Genomic DNA, 17,127 nt, shown 5'->3' with positions numbered 1-17,127 from the left:
CACTCCAGCGTGGGCAATAGAGCGAGACTCCGTCTCAAAAAAAAAGAAAGAAAAAAAGCAATGGCAGTCCACAGAGGTAACAGGATTTACTTGATCACTGTCATAGAACTATTTATTAAGTGGTAGAGTTAGGGCCCAATTCCCAGAGGTCTTACCATGACACCAGGGCTTTTTCTCTCAGTTTGGCACATTTCCCTTCTCACTTCTCTCTCTCAACCGTAAGGTTTCATCACCTATTACTAACTATTCCATTCTTCCAGTTTCTACTTGCTTAGAAACTTCCTACACGTCACCATTCAAAAATCTAAAATTATTCCTTATAAACAACTGAATTGGCTAATTTCCTCTGTTTGGCTTTCCATACACGAGGCACTCCTCACTAACTACATATACCATGCCATGCCCACAAGTGACTCCACACTTTGCCTCACTCTGCTCTCTCACCCTTCTTCCACCCAACTTATTACATCCTTCTCCTCCTTTAAGGTGCAATGCAAGTACTACCTTCTTCAAGAAGCCTGTTCTTCTAGCACTTCCTCTTGATCTCTCCCTTCATTAACTCCTTTTGCATTTACTACCTATCAACGGAGGCTTGCTACTTAGCCATCCCAGGGTTTAAATATCTGTATGGGACAATTTAATAATATATTGAATGTAATTAATCACTAATTCTTCCATATATATACATATTATCTCCCCAATTAAGCTGTAAGCAACCTGGGGTTGGGAATGGTAGCAGGACTTCTTTCATACCAAACAGCAAGTAACAAAGGGTTAGGTATGTAGTAAGTGCTCAATATATATATTTAACCAATTGAGGGGTAGAGTATGAAAATATAATTCAGGAATTCCTTATTTTTAAGGTTTCTGCCTGAAGTCTGAAAGTGACTTACCTTTGCCCAATAAGAGAAACATTATAAGGCTAGACATAAATTTCTTTATAGGCTTTTAAATTTTATTTTTTCCAATTATTACATTAATAAATGCTCAATGTGGCAAATGTAAAGAGCTACGACATATAAATGTCAAAAAAATGCACATAACCCTCCCATTAAGAAGCAATTATTTCATTCTAGTCTTCTTTTTTAGCCAGTTTTTCTTTATTCTTAAACCCACTGAACATCCCAATGCTATGCTGCAACTATTCTCACCAAAGCCACTAAGAATCCTGCTTGCTCAATTCAGTGTATTTTTCAGTACTTAGCTTCCATTACCTCGGAGCAGCATATCACACTTGGAACCTAATTCCCCTTGGCTTTGTTAACACCATACCCCCTACATCTCTGGCCAAACTTTCTGAGCAGCATTTAGAAGCTAGCTTGCTTTCTCCACATACTCCTTAAATGTTTGGTTTTCTCAGAATGCATCCAGCCCTAGCCATCTCTCTTTCACTATCATAACCTCATTGAATCACTTCAACTATTCCCAGAGCTTAGACTTAGACTACCACTTACATAATGATGACTTCTGCATCTTAATTTCCAGCTTGGATCCCTTTTGTGAACTTGGCCTTTTTTTTTTTTTTTTTTTTTTTTTGAGACAGGATCTCACTGTCACCCAGGCTGGAGTGTATTAGCATAACCATGGCTCACTGCAGCCTCAACCTCTTGGGCTCAAGTGATCCTCCTGCCTCAGCCTCTCAAGTAATGAGGAGTACAAGCACATGCCACCCCACCTGGCTAATTTATTGTTTTTAGAGATGGGGTCTTGCTATGTTGCCCAGGCTGATCTCAAACTCCTAGGTTCAAGCCATCCTCCCAGCTTGACCTCCCAAAGTGCTGAGATTATAGGCATGAGCCACTGTCTGGCAACTTGACCTTTATATTCCATTTTCTCCTGAACACTTCTTACCCACATTTCTCACAGGAACCTCAAACCCTTGCCCATGCCCAGAATAAGTTATCCCCCACAAGGATTTCCTTTCTCAATGAGTAATACTACTCACCATGTATTTGTGAAAGCCAAAAATCTGGGATTCAACCTTAGTGCCTTCCTTACCCTCATATCTAATTAATGATTCCTGTCAATTCAATCTCCTAATCATCTTCCAAATTTGTCTCTTCCTCTCCAACTGAGCATGATTCCCATTACCATACCACCACTGCCCAGTGTATTCAGGACCAATCTAACTCACTCCTCCCTGAAAACTCCAGAGCCAATTCATTTGCTGGACTATAGTCTAGCCCTCTTCCAATCCATTTCTTCATATGGCTACCAGAGTGAGTATTTTAAGAAATATATCTAATTCTTTAAAACTTTTCAATGATTTGCCATTTATCTTATATTAAAGACCAAATTCCTTTAGGGGAGTTCATAACCTAGTCCCTTGCTTATCTCTCCAGTCACACACAAGGGAGTTCTCCCGTTGTTCTAGACACTCTAGCCAGATTCTTCATTCCTCTAAGGCTTTAGAGTACATTATAATATCAATTAAGGCAAGTTCTCCATCATCCCATTTTTGTTTTTGCTTTTCCAAATTTATCTTAGCTATTCCAAACTGAATGTATTCTATATGGATGTATCCTTAATTCTGTGTGTATGTATATACACACATATACAGTATAAATATATACATACAGTATACACACAGGCACATACTTTTTTTTTCTCAACAGTATGTTCTTCTAGGTAAGTGTTAGAATTACATTTCCAATTTACATCTACCACTTATTCTCAAAATAACAAAAAATTTTAAGACTGACCACAGCCAAACATATGCTAATTTTGTAATAACTTGTATTTTTACAGCGCTTAGTCTTCCCATCCAAGAACATGTTGAGTCTCTTAATTTATCTTAGCCTTTGGTTATTTCCCTTGACAAAATTTCATACTTCTTCAGACAGATTCTATAGACTTCTGGTTATGAGTATTCCCAACTTTTTTTTTTTCGGTGGGGACATTGCTATGGTAATTGTTATTTCATTTTATTATTGAATAATATGCTGAGTATCTGGTCACCTTCCTGAACTTCCATTAGTGTAAAAATTTCTGAGTTAGTGGTCTCTTGGATATTCTGAATACACAATATTTTCTACAAATTATAACTTTGCCTCCTCTTTTTCAATATCCATAACTGATTTCATTTTCTTATCTAACTGCTACAACTAAGGCTTCCAAATTAAGTTTAAAAAATAATGGACATCTTGTCTTGTTCCCAATTTTACTGTTAAACAGGGTATTGACTGCAGGTTTCCAATAAACATTGTCCTTCATGTTAAGAATGTATCATTCTGGCTGGGCACGATGGGTCAAGCCTGTAATCCCAGCACTTTAGAAGGCCAAGGTGGGCAGATCGCCTAAGGTCAGGAGTTTGAGACCAGCCTGGCTAACATGGCAAAACCCCGTCTCTACTAAAAATACAAAAAATCAGCCGGGCATGGTGGCACATGCCTGTAATCCCAGTTACTCAGGAGGCTGAGGGAGGAGAATCACTTGAACTGGGGAGGCGGAGGTTGCAGTGAGCCAAGATCACACCGTTGCATTCCAGCCTGGGTGACAAGAGTGAAACTCCATCTTAAAAAAACAAAAAAGGAATGTATCATTCTATTCTTAAAGAAGTTTGTGGGTATTATGTGTGTATGTGGTGACTGAGTATAAAATGGGTATGGAAGGGGGGCATAGGGAGAGATTTGTTAAAGGATACAAAATTACAGCTACATAGGAGGAATAAGTCAGGAATACGTTACAGCTAGATAGGAGGAATGACTATAGTAGGATGAGTATAGTTAACAATAATGTGTTACACGGTTAAAAGGAGGATATTGAAGGTTCCTAACACAAAGAAATGATAAATGTTTCAGATGATGGATATGCTAATTACCATGATCTGATCACTACACATTATAAGTACAACACTACGTACCCTACAAATAGGTACAATTATTTGTCAATTTAAAAAATAAAAAAATTAAGAAGATATGGGCATAAAATGTCATTAAATGTGACTGTAGTGCTTGCCACATATATTTTCTTATTTGATCAAATGATATAAATGTATTAATAGATCATGAATTATTGTAGTGGCGCAATGGTTAAGAGCACTGTCTCTGGAGAGAGACTGCCTGGGTGACTTAAACCCTTCTATTCCTTAAGCTTGAAACATTATTAGACGTGCTAGGCTTTTGTAAAGATCAAGTAGTATGTAAGAAGTGCAGCCAGGTATGTTGGCTCATGCCTGTAATTCAAGCACTTTCAAAGGCTGAGACGGGAGGACTTCTTGTGCCCAGGAGTTTGAGACCAGCCTGGGCAATATAGTGAGACCCTATATCTACAAAAAGTAAAAAAGTTAGCTGGATGTGGTGGCACATGCCTGTAGTCCCAGCTACTCTGGCGGGGGGGCGGTTAGGGGGACCTCAGGTTGTAGGATTACTTGAGCCTGGGAGGTCAAGGCTGCAGTGAGCCGTGAACCTACCCATGAACTCCAGCCTGGGTGACAGAGCGAGATCCTGTCTCAACAAAATAAAAAACAGAAAGTAAAACAAAAATAAAGAAGTGCAGAGGACAGTGGCTGGTGCATAAGTGTTACATCAGAATTTGCTATTACCATTTTTAAAACATTGCTGCATTCCAATCACTGTGTATTAATCTTTTAACATATGATAAAATATAATTTACTCATAACTTATTTAAAGAACTAGGTTTGTTTAAATTACAATAGCATGATGAAAATATCTCTGATGAAACTAATTGTTAGGTGTTGATACTTGGGCTAGGTTAGCATCATAAAATGACATGAGGGGCATTCTTTGCTTTTCATTGCTCTGGAGCAGAATATATAGCATGATCATAATCTGTTTCTTAAAATTTTTCAAGAACTCAAACAAAATCATGACTGCTTTTGGAGATTGCTCTTTGAAGGTTTTTTTTAAATTTATTTCCCAGTAACTGGCCTATTAAAATCTTCTTAGTTATATGGTTATTTTTGGTGAGTTATTTCTTTCATCTAGATTTCTTAATTTGTAGCATTCATGTACACAGTATTCTTAATACACTGTATTCTTAATACCTTCTAAGTCTATCATTATGTCCTCTTTTTACTTCTAACATGCATTCTCTCACCAGTTTTCTGACTTAGACTTGTCCAAGATTTGCTTATTACACTGACGTACTTCTAGAACTAGTTGAAAACATTCTACTGTGTTTATGTTTTCTTTTATCTGGTATACTTGATTTCTTCTGCTTTCCCTGCTTTTTTCCTATCATTCAGCATCTGTCTGTCTGTCTGTCTCCCTATTTTTCTGATGAGACGGGGTCTCATTCTGTCACCCAGGCTGGAGTGCAGTGGCATGAACATGGCTCATGGCATCCTCAAACTCCTAGGCCCAAGTGATCCTTCCACCTCAGCCTCCCAAGTACCTGGGACTACAGGCACACACCACCATATCTGGCTAATTTAAAAAAATTAGCTATATTGCCCAGACTGGTCTCAAACTCTTGGGCTCAAGTGATCCTCCTGTCTTGGACTCCCAAAGTGCTAGGACTACAGGCATGAGCCACCATGCCCAGCTTCCTTCAGCTTTTATAAGAAATTATTTTCCTGCTAAATTTCTAAAATTGACTGTTTAGACTCTTTGTCCTCAAATTTCCATATGCTGTAATTTGATACAAAAAGGTGGTGTATTAACAGATCAATCCTAATTTCACAATAAGAGATAAAATCAGATATCTATGTATCCCGATGTATTACACAGGAAGTATATAATATCACCTATCAAGCATTCTTGCCACTTGACAGAAATTCAAGGTTGAAAGAAACATGTTAAAGACAACAAAAGGATACATTCAGCAAAATCCAGAAGGTAGAAAATTTCTTAAGACAAACAAATTATAAGAAAAACGAAATAAGGGTAAATCTGTAGATTAAAACAAACTGAAGGCTGATCATGGTGGCTCACACCTGTAATCCCAGCACTGTGGGAGACCAAGGTGGGCGGATCACCTGAGGTCAGGAGTTTGAGACCAGCCTAACCAACATGGTGAAACCTCATCTCTACTAAAAATACAAATAATAGCCAGGCGTGGTAGTGTGTGCCTGTAATCCCAGCTACTCAGGAGGCTGAGGCAGGAGAATTGTTTGAACCCAGGAGGTGGAGGTTGCAGTCCAGCCTAGGCAACAGAGCGAGACCCTGTCTTAAAAAAAACAAAAACAAAAACAAACTTAAGAGACATATCATTCAAATGTAAAGTGTGGCTCTTCCTTAGATTCTAACGCAAAATTAAATTAACCACAGGGCGCACTGGCTCACGCCTGTAACCCCAGCACTTTGCAGGGCCGAAGCAGGTAGATCACCTGAGGCCAGGAGTTCAAGACCAGCCTGGCCAACATAGTGAAACCCCATCTCTACAAATATACAAAAATTAGCTGGGCATGATGGCAGGTGCCTGTAATCCCAGCTACTTGGGAGACTGAGGCAGGAGATTGCTTGAACCTGGGAGGCAGAGGTTGCAGTGAGCCGAGATTGTGCCACTGCACTCCAGCCTGGGCGACGCGAGACTCCATCTCTAAATAAATAAATAAATAAAAGAAAATGGGGATTCTATAAAATTGGGATAGTAAATCTATTTTATAAGTGTGTTAAATGAGTTAATACTATAGCACTTCCATAATAATAACTGCTAACTGCTACTGAGTATTTTATACGTGTCTAGCACCATGAGAAATGCTTTATACATATCACACAATATATATTTCACATAGTGAAAAGGTTTTTCATATGTCCAAAGTACAAATGAAGCTGATTTACATAAGAAATGGTCCAATTATTTTCTGTAAATGAAACTTACTTTTGCTTTAAAACTGTTCTTAGAGCATCTTTCTGTCCCATTGTATACTGAGAAATGAAGATGTCATTTGCTGCAAAATCAAGACACAAAAATATATATTAAATTCCTGAATATTTATTAAACTTTAATAAGCTACTAAAAAAATCTTTTTTAACTAAAAGAATGTTTAGGAACTCAGCCATAGCATTCCACGATCGAAAAGGACAAGGAACAAATTAAGTGATTAAGTAATAATATAATCCTCATAATCCCAAACCCACAGCCAACATCATACTGAACGGGCAAAAGTTGAACACATTCCCCCTAAGAACTAGAACAAGACAAGGATGCCCACTCTTACCACTCTTTTCAATACAGTAGTGGAAGTCCCAGCCAGAGCAATCAGACAGAGAAAGAAAGAAAAGGCATCCAAAAAGTAAAAGGAAGTCCAATTACCTCTGTTCACTGATGACATGGTCCTATACCTAGAAAACCCTAAAGATTCCTACAAAATGCCCCTAGATCTGATAAATGACTTAAGTAAAGTTTCAGGATACAAAATCAACGTACAAAAATCAGTAGCGTTTCTATACACTAATAACATTCAAGCTGAGAATGAAATCAAGAACTCAATGCCATTTACAACAGCGGCACACAAAAAATAAAATTCCTAGGAATACATTTAATCAAGAAGGTGAAAGATCTCTACAAGGAGAACTATAAAACACTGATGAAAAAAATCACAGATGACACAAATAAGTGGAAAACATTCCATGCTCATGAATTAGAAAAATCAATATCGTTAAAATGACCATACTGCCCAAAGCCATCTACAGATTCAATGCAATTCCTATTCAATTACCAACATCATTTTTCACAGAATTAGAAAAAACTATTTTAAAATTCATATGGAGCCAGACACGGTGGCTCACGCCTGTAATCCCAACACTTTAGGAGGCTGAGGTAGGCAGATCACTTGAGGTCAGGAGTTTGAGACCAGTCTGGTCAAGATGGTGAAACCCTGTCTCTACAAAAAAAAAATAGAAAAATTAGCTGGGTGTGGTGGTGTGCACCTGTAATCCCAGCTACTCAGGAGGCTGAGGCAGGACAATTGCTTGAACCCGGGAGCTGGAGGTTGCAGTGAGCTGAGATTACGCCACTGCACCCCAGCCTGGACAACAGAGGGAGACTCCGTCTCAAAAAAAAAATTTATAAACATATCTAATACTAAACCTCTGCAATAGGTTGGTAATAACAAGATAACCTTCACCATTGCAAACCTTATTCTGGATTTTATAGCTTCTAGTGATAGCTTAATTTGGGAAGAAAAACTAATTTAAAATGAAAATAATAAAAACTATAAGACTACGTAATAAATGTTTAAAAATAAATTCTACCCTTAAGAAGAAAATTCTGACACATACTACAACATGGATGAACCTTTAAAACATTATGCTAAGTGAAATAAGCCAGTCACAAAAGGTCAAATACTATATGATTCTACTTATATAACGTACCTAGGGTAGTCAAATTCATAGAGACAAAAAGTAGGATGCCCAGGGCTGAGGGGATGAAAAATGAGCAGTTAGTGTTTAATGGGTAGAGTTGGGAGAGATGACAAAGCTCTGGATATGAAAGGTGATGATGATTGTACAACAATGTGAATGTACTTACTGTCACAGAACTGTACATTTTAAAGTAGTAAACTTTATGTTATGTATATGTTGTCACAATTTAAAAAAATCAATATTATTCTTTTACCTTTTTGCTTGTTGTTCTCTTCTATTTTATCCAAAGGCAACACTTGCACTGCAACGTCTTTAGAAAAATCCTTTGGGATATGAAAGGAAGAAATAGGCTAAATAAACTTCATGATTTATTATTTATCAAGAACCGTTTACTAGCTATGTGACTACTGTGTTCTGGGAGGGCAGGACTGTGTATTTCATATTCTTCATTTCCATCATCATGCAATTCTGATGTACCTTAAAGCTACTCAAAGATTTGTTGAATGGGTGAGTAATACACTATCAGACAAGTGAATGAATGAGTAAATGAACCAGCAAGCAAATGTAGCACTGAGATTCAGACTCAAACCAGTTTGCCACTTGTAGCAGAGCAAGTCATTTAACATCTCAGTTGCTTCAGTGAAATGTGAAAATCTGACTCACTGTGAGTCAAATGGAGTAGATAAGGATGGCACAACATCACGAAGATCACCCATTTATTCTCAATTATACAATAACAGTGTATCCATACATTTGAGAAGTTTAGATATCATTAAATAAGGCCTGCTTAAAAAAAAAAAAGACAAAACAACAAAAAAACACTCCAAAGTCTAGGCATTTACTTAGGGATCAAGTACAGCAAATAATTATACATTTTATTGTGAGCTTTTGACAAAATTGTCATATAGTCTCAATTGAATTATTAGTTTGCCAGCTTCAATTTTCAAAATAGCATATTGTGAAACTCTCATTATACAGACTTATTAAACTGACAATACATAGGTCAACACTATGATTAGCCGTCAAAGTCTGATTAGATCTCATAACCAAAACATTGTATTTATCAAATACTTTCGGCATTATAAAGTTAAGATGATAATTTCATGTTATTCTTAAAGAACCTCCCTTCTAAGAAAACCAAAACCATTCTCACAAGTGTTAGAATGACATGCAAGCACACCTCACATTAAAGAAAAATTGTACTGTTAGTTGTTCCTTTTCTTTTACCTAAGAACATGTTAAGTCTCTGGGCAAGAACACCTTTTCCCTGAATAGTAAGAGAGTTTCTTTTCAGTTATCCTATCTCTTTCAGCGGCCATTATCTTACTAATAGGTATTTTTGATTCTAGGGAAGGCCTTTTGTTTAATGTCTCAAACACCATTCAAAGTCACAATTGTAGTATATAAAACATTTGTTTTGGTAAGTGATATTTAAATAAAAACAAGGCATGCTGCTAATCAAACATAATTTAAGAATGCATTATTTGACAATACTGAAAATTTTAACGTGAGCATAATTAAGAATCCTTTTGCTTACACTTTCTGACACCATGGGATTTTCTAATAGAGGCTGGTAACAATTTCTAGCAGAAGTTAAGTCTGATGAACCTAACAAAACAAAGGAATAGATTTTAGTGATTTTAAAATCAGATCCTTAGCTTTAGAAACTGTATATGCATGATTCAAGATCTATAAACTCCATATAACGCAGAAGTTGGAAAGACAATTTGCATGCAAAAAAAGTTAAGAAAATGTATTTAAACATATCTGAATGAAAGTTTTTACAGTTGATATTTGGGAAAATAAGGTTCGGTACTGACAATAAAGTGAGATTAAGCACGAAACATTTTAAAATATAACCATACACTATTGGATGTGGACAAACTATGGGTAGAAATATGTATACGATGTAAAGGTCTAATTTAACAGCAGTACTATTTGAGTGTCACCGCTGTATCCCCCAAAGAACAGCATTACAAAAGCGTTTTGCTGTTTTTGCTCACATATTCATTAATTTAATCCTCACAATTAGCAGCGAAGTGGGTAAAGCATATGTTATCCTTATTTTCACTGAGCTCTAGACAGATTAAGTGAATTGGAATATAGAAGCCATCAATTGGCAGAAGTCCTGCTTTTCCCACTATGAAAAGAAAGTAGTGAATTAGGTAAAAAGCACTACTTTGGGGGAAAACTATAAAAAACACTACGTGGGGGAAAATAAAGCACATTATACAAGTTAAGTGTATCCACCATAAATATAAAAAAAAAAATATGCAAAAGTCAATGCAAAAAAAAAAAAAAAAAGCACAACAGGGGACGTTAAAGTTTCATTCATTCCATCTATTCAAACATTTTATAGGCTTCCTGGCCATTTTCCCGGGAAACAGGGTCAGTTTTCAAACATCTGTACAAACTAGACTTATATCTTACGTTTGGGAATTTAAACAAATAAGGACTAAAGATTTACTAAACTAAAACTGGTTGAAAAACTACATGGAATCACATACCACGTGATGTTCCATTCAAACTAGTCCCCGTTCCAACAGGAAGACGTTTATTTGCAGACAATGCCGGAGGAACACAGGGCAACTCATCTTTCAGCAAAACCAAATGATCTCCATGATTTTGAGAAACTACCTCACGAAGTCTCTTCACTGGCATCTTAATCTTTTTTTTCTTCTCCAAGCTGACCTCAGAGCCTTTCATATTGTTGGTCACAAAACAAGTCCCACACTTAAGGACGGAAAAACTTTCTCTGTTTCCTTAAGACTTCAGAACAAAATTTTCACCTCTTTGCAATAACTGTTTTTAAAATGTCGAACATCCACAAAGCTGAAAATCTAAATTCTGATATTGAATCCAGGATTAGAGCTGACTATAAAGTCATATTTACCCATTAATCCCACTCAGTCTATTAATACACCACGCCAAAATGTGAAAGTGGGGATGACAAGAGAATGGCCACAGGAGCAACAATAACCATAACAGTGCACTCCCCAACCCCAGAGCTGGTAGGGCAAAACCAAACACATGTAGTGGCGGGCTTAAAATTTGTTGAGAAGAGGCAGTCAAGCAAATAAAAGCGAAATGCTATTTTTAAAATAATGACCCACATAAGAAGCGTAATAGCTTTCTTCAGCCACAGAGTCTTACACACCCCTCCAGATGCAATCGTCGGAAACATAAATTCACCCCTACGTATCTCCAGAACGCCCGAGACCCGCACCGTCGTGGGTGTAATCTGACAACAGCGTCAGTTGCCCGCAGGTCAACACCCACTTCCCTTCAAACCCGCCCTTGAGACACAACACGCATGCGCGCCAAGAAACTCACCCAAAACATCCAACCAGAAAGCTAAGCGCTCTCTGGTGCTCTTCCATTCCTCTCCGGGTGGAAACAAACTCCGGACATAACAGGGGTTTATTTATTTATTTATTTTAAGGTAGCACATTGCCGCACAAGACCGCTCTACAGTCTCATCCAAGACTTGAAGAGCTCCCGACTTGTAATACTACTTGTGTTTACCAGGGACTGTTGACACTGCTTCGCTTCCGAAGACCGTTAGGGACGTGGGATTAGGTAAATTAGGCTTCCAAGAAGTTTCGACAGATTCGGGTCATTATTGGAGAGGAAGTCGGGAATAGAAAGCGTTGTCTAAGCAGAAAATAACCGAAGTTAATCCTTAGGAGATTTTAGAATTCGCTGATGGTACCTGCTTTTTCTTCTAGATTTCCTCGCGTTATAACGAATCGGCGTCTAAGGGTTTAAGTGTCACTTGACATTACTGCTCCCACGTGTTCTTTCCCATCTGGCGGCCGCGGCTCCTGTCCAGACCCTGACCCTCCCTCCCAAGGCTCAACCGTCCCCCAACAACCCCCAGCCTTGTACTGATGTCGGATGCGAGAGCCTGTGCTTAAGTATGGTGTCTGTTCTCTGCCGTGAGAATCCGGGGTTCCCGGACGGGGGGTGGCAGGCTACGCTCCAGGAAAGTGGCGGGGTCTCCCGAGGAGGCCGCCGCACGTACCTGGAGCAGTGGGGGGTGCGAAGCGGGACAGCGCTTCGCCGGGTCGGGTGCAGACCTTCCTGGAGATGGTGTCACCTGGGCGAGGGTAGGAACTTTAGGCCCTGAGCCACCCCCAACCCGGATCTGGGGAGTCGGGGTCCTGTTTTGGGACACTGAATTAGACTATAAGGTATTTACGATGTGACCTTGAGCTGCCCGGGGGAAGATCCTCCTTTAAATGAAAATCGTCTTTAGACATAATACCAGGTCTAACACCCCTTCCCTGATCTGCTCATTTCCCAGGATGCGCTACTTAGAGCTTTCCCTTTACGCCTTACTGGAGGCTTTAGAATAATCAAAGCAGAAAATGTAATCCGATCTAAAAGCTAAATAACTAATTTTATTTCTTTTACATCTCGGCAGTCTACCTTCATAGAAGTCTAGACTTAAAATGGACTTTAAAGTCTGAGCGCGGTGGCTCACGCCTGTAATCCCAGCACTTTGGGAGGCCAAGGCGGGCGGATCACGAGATCAGGAGTTCGAGACCAGCCTGGCCAGCAAGGTGAAACCCCGCCTCTACTGAAAATACAAAAAATTAACTGGGCATGGTGGCGCGCGCCTGTAGTCCCAGCTACTCAGGAGGCTGAGGCAAGAGAATTGCTTGAACCCGGCAGGTGGAGGTTGCAGTGAGCTGAGATCGCGCCATTGTGCTCCAGCCTGAGTGACAGATCAAGACTGTCTTAAAAAAAAAAGAAAAAAAAAGACTTTAAGGGCTCAGCGTTAAAGACCCTTTTAATTATTATTTTTTTGTAACTTGCTGAGTTTCTCTAATGAGTTTTGTGTTGTTTTTTGAGACAAAGTCTCACTCTGTGGCACAGGCTGGAGTGCAGTGGCGCGATCTTGGCTCACTGCAACCTCCGCCTCCCAGGTTCAAGCGATTCTTCTGCCTCAGGCCTCCTGAGTAGCTGGATTACAGGCGCCCGCCACCACGCCCAGCTAATTTTTTTTGTATTTTTATTAGAGACGGGGTTTCACCATGTTGGCCAGGTTGGTCTCGAACTCCTGACTTGATTCACCCGCCTCGGCCTACCAAAGTGCTAGTATTACAAGCGTGAGCCACCGCACGTGGCCATTATTTTTTATTTTAGTTACATTTTCTCTTCGTAATTGGGCTCATAGGTGGTACTTGTTTGTTCACAATTTATTGTATATTATGAGTGTACTGAAAGAACTACAATGTCAGAGTCGCCAGAGACCTTGGAGATAGTTTAACTCTTACCTTCTAGGTGAAACTTATGTGAAAGAAACAGTGACCTAAGATCTGAGTGTAGGCACTCTGAATTATTAAAATGACAACTTAATTTGGATCTTACAGCTCTTTGTCATTACTCTTTAGTTCCTTTCCCTCTTTTTTTTTTTTTTTCCAGAGACAGGGCCTTGCTCTGTCATGATCATAGCTCCCTGAAGCCTTCAACTCCTGAGCTCAGGCAATCCTCCTGTCTCAGCCTCCTGAGTAGCTAGGACTACAAGCACTTGCCACCACGCTGGCTAATTTTTTACTTTTTTGTAGAAACTAGGTCTCGCCTTATTGCCCAGGCTTATTTTCTCAGCTCACTGCAACCTCTGCCTCCTGGGTTCAAGTGATTCTTCTGCCTCAGCCTCCCAAATAGCTGGGATTATAGGCACCCGCCACTCTGCCCAGATAATTTTTGTGTTTTTAGTAAAGATGGGGTTTCACCATGTTGGCCAGGCTGGTCTGGAACTCCTGACCGCACGTGATCTGCCCACCTCAGCCTCCCAAAGTGCTGGGATTACAGGCGTGAACCATCATGCCTGGCCTTATTTTCTCACTCTAAATCAGCCCTCTCAACCCCTTTTCTTTATGACTGACACTTTTGAAAAGACCAGCCAGGTTGTCTTACAAATTGTTCCATGTTGTAGATTTTCCTAATTATTCCCTCATGATTAGAGCCATATCAAACTTTGGCCAGAATACCACATAGGTGATGCTGTCTTACTGCATCCCACCAAGAAATACCTAATGTTGGCACCCATGTTTGTGATGCTAGGTTTTATGACTTAGCTTATACGTTTTTTCTTTGAGACAGGGTCTCTTTCTGTCACCCAGGCAAGAGAGCAGTGGCGTGATCATGGCTCACTGCAGCCTCAAGCTCCTGGGCTCAAGTGATCCTCCTGCCTCAGCCTCCTGAGTAGCTGGGACTACAGGTGCACACCACCATGCCGGCTCATTTTTGTATTTTTTGTAGAGATGGGGTTTTGCCATGTTGCCCAGGCTGATGTAGAACTTTTGGGCTCAAGCTATCCACCCACCTCAGCCTCCCAAAATGCTGGGATTGAGCCACTGCACCTGGTCAGTCACTTAGCTTATAACATATATTTGGCTATTTGGAAAATATTTTTAGATAGATGATATGTGTCATAATAGCTTATAAGACATTTTATAGGTCTTAAATAGGTCATTTTATAGGTGCAATGGGGAAAATACTGGATTTTGAAGTCCAAAGACCTTAGTTAGGCTCCAGCTGTCCAGTTACTATCTGTATAAGTGACCTCATGTAAGTTTCTTAAGATTTCTGAACCATCCCTCCCAGAATTAGTAGGAAAATCATAAGGGAAGTGTAATGTATACTTATACCTGGATAAATAAGGATAGCATGACATTAAGTATTTTTTTTAATAGTAACACATATGCCAAAGAATTGTAACCTCAGAATAGAGGAAACTAATTTCACTTACTAAAAAGGAAGAAACTTTAAAAAAATAAATGATTAGCCAATAGAAGTTTACATTTCATTGAAAAGACTATTAGAACTTGAAGGGGACTTAGTAATCATATTACCTCATTTTTCAGGTAAGAATCAGGCCTTATTGGAGACATTCAAGCAAAGGTTGGACAACTACTTTTCCAGAACAGAAAGGAAACTCATGCATCAGAAAAGGTTAGAGCTTGATGACTGATAAGATCTCCCTTTATTCTTAAGTTCCCTGGTTCTAGGATATATTTTGTTTGCCACAAGAATAACAGCATCATTGTAATCATTCCCAAGATCTAAGCCAGTGATTCTTGAATTTGCTTATTTCTTCTCTCCCTCTCCAGGTTTCAGGGATATAATCAGAAGGTAACCCCTGATGGGTCTTTGCCACAGTAACATAAATTTGCTGTAATATATGGAAACTAGGATCAAATAAAAGAACAACCACATTACTGCTACCTGTTCTCACCATCAGGTGGTTTATGTGGCTGGTGGAATTTGTTAGTCTAAGCTTACTATTAAATAACTGCGAAGTGAATAGTGAAAAATTTAGAAGACCTCAAATTAGCAAGTAACTCTGAAAATCATTGATTTACTCAGTCATCTCCAGTATTTTCTCTGAACCAGTTGCCTACAATTATGTATACCATAATCTTTTTTTTTTTTTTTTTTTTTTTTTGAGACAAAGTCTCGCTCTGTCACCCAGGCTGGAATGCAGTGGCACAATCTCAGCTCACTGCAGCCTCTGCCTCCCAGGTTCAAGCAGTTCTGCCTCAGCCTCCCGAGTAGCTGCGATTATAGGCATGTGCCACCATGCCCGGCTAATTTTTGTATTTTTAGTAGAGACGGGGTTTCACCATGTTGGCCAGGCTGGTCTCAAACTCCTGACCTCAAATGATCCACCCGCCTTGGCCTCCCAATGTGCTGGGATTACAGGTGTGAGCCACTGTGCCTGGCCTATACCGTAATCTTGATAGATACTGGTGACTACCGAGGATAGCTTTAGAGATTTAAGCAGACTTAAGAAAACTTCTGATTGTTAGCTCTTGAGTTCAACTGTTAGGTCTGGAAAAAAAAAATACCAAATTGGTCTGGGTGCAGTGGCTCACGCCTGTAATCCCAGCACTTTGGGAGGCTGAGGTGGGTGGATTACCTGAGGTCGGGAGTTCAAGACCAACCTGGCCAACATGGTGAAACCCCATCTATACTAAACAAAAATTAGCCAGGTGTGGTAGTGCATGCCTGTAATCCCAGCTACTCAGGAGGCTGAGGCACAAAATCACTTGAACCCAGGAGGCGGAAGATGTAGTAAGCTGAAATTGCACCACTGTACTCCAGCCTGGGTCTCAGAGTGAGACTCTGTCTCAAAAATAAATAAATAAATAAATCTCAAAAATAAGTAAATAAATAAATAAAATACACAATTGAGTGATTCTAAAGAAAATAAATCATAGTGTTAACATAGTGGTCTGTGAATGGTAGAACTATCTTTTGTTTTTCAAATTCTCAATAAATATATTACTTTTATAGTATGACAGACTTTATTTCACTGAAAAGAGGAAACATACACTGTTTAAGTAATGTATATTAATACATTAATGAATAAAGAAGATTCATACCAACAGCACTTGGGGCATTCCTCATATATGTCTTTTCAGATTTTTTAGTAACAACCATCATTTATCACCATGAGATATATAATAAGGACAAGATGTGTGTAGAGGCAGCACAGGGTACCAGTATGAAACTTAGAGAACATTTAAAGATTTCATACTTTCGACTGGGCACAGTGGCTCATGCCTGTAATCCCAGCACTTTGGGAGGCCGAGGCAGGAGGATCACCTGAGGTCGGGAGTTTAAGACCAGCCTCACCAATGTGGAGAAACCCCCGTCTCTACTAAAAATAGAAAATTAGCTGGGCGTGGTGGTGCATGCCTGTAATCCCAACTGCTTGGGAGGCTTAGGCAGGAGAATCGCTTGAACCTGGGAGGCGGAGATTGCAGTAAGCTGAGATTGTGCCATTGCACTCCAGCCTGGGCAACAAGAGCGAAAACTCCGTCTCAAAAAAAAAAAAAAAAGA

General features: G+C 39.4%; 2 protein-coding genes across 45 annotated transcripts in view, besides 3 other annotated features; one reads left to right on the top strand and one right to left on the bottom strand.

The window, feature by feature from the left end:
- Positions 1 to 11,841, bottom strand: part of KIAA0586 — a 134,691-nt gene extending 122,850 nt beyond the window's left edge. For 24 of the 32 annotated variants that reach the window (XM_047432009.1, XM_024449779.2, XM_024449781.2 and 21 more), the window contains exons 1-4: positions 10,778 to 11,522; positions 9,808 to 9,878; positions 8,524 to 8,593; positions 6,784 to 6,853 (exon numbers count right to left, since the gene is read on the bottom strand). In XM_047432009.1, coding sequence (XP_047287965.1) covers positions 6,784 to 6,853; positions 8,524 to 8,593; positions 9,808 to 9,878; positions 10,778 to 10,976 — 410 coding nt within the window. In that variant the 5' untranslated portion in view covers positions 10,977 to 11,522. Of the gene's footprint in view, positions 1 to 6,783; positions 6,854 to 8,523; positions 8,594 to 9,807; positions 9,879 to 10,777; positions 11,523 to 11,603 lie in introns of those variants that run through there. The other 8 variants (NM_001364701.2, NM_001329945.2, NM_001364700.1 and 5 more) reach the window with 5 other exon arrangements.
- Positions 11,251 to 11,440: an enhancer, noted in NCBI's record as "active region_8454". NCBI's record gives its function as "activates an Ori minimal core promoter by ATAC-STARR-seq in GM12878 lymphoblastoid cells {active_cell/tissue: GM12878}" and the evidence as "EXISTENCE:reporter gene assay evidence [ECO:0000049][PMID:35858748]".
- Positions 11,511 to 11,560: an enhancer, noted in NCBI's record as "active region_8453". NCBI's record gives its function as "activates an Ori minimal core promoter by ATAC-STARR-seq in GM12878 lymphoblastoid cells {active_cell/tissue: GM12878}" and the evidence as "EXISTENCE:reporter gene assay evidence [ECO:0000049][PMID:35858748]".
- Positions 11,710 to 17,127, top strand: part of TIMM9 (translocase of inner mitochondrial membrane 9) — a 19,038-nt gene continuing 13,620 nt past the window's right edge. For 5 of the 13 annotated variants that reach the window (NR_130753.1, NR_130751.1, NM_001304490.1 and 2 more), the window contains exons 1-2: positions 11,999 to 12,187; positions 15,146 to 15,233. The gene's annotated coding sequence lies outside the window, so the exon portion shown is untranslated. Of the gene's footprint in view, positions 11,850 to 11,998; positions 12,188 to 15,145; positions 15,234 to 17,127 lie in introns of those variants that run through there. The other 8 variants (NR_130752.1, NM_001304491.1, NM_001304486.1 and 5 more) reach the window with 5 other exon arrangements.
- Positions 12,575 to 13,518: an enhancer, noted in NCBI's record as "H3K27ac-H3K4me1 hESC enhancer chr14:58892441-58893384 (GRCh37/hg19 assembly coordinates)". NCBI's record gives its function as "activates a minimal SCP1, AML or CMV promoter by ChIP-STARR-seq in naive H9 embryonic stem cells {active_cell/tissue: H9 hESC(naive)}" and the evidence as "EXISTENCE:reporter gene assay evidence [ECO:0000049][PMID:30033119]".

The sequence above is a fragment of the Homo sapiens genome, chromosome 14 (genome assembly GCF_000001405.40).
Source record: "Homo sapiens chromosome 14, GRCh38.p14 Primary Assembly".
NCBI lineage: Eukaryota > Metazoa > Chordata > Mammalia > Primates > Hominidae > Homo > Homo sapiens.
This window is presented reverse-complemented; position numbering and strand designations above follow the sequence as displayed.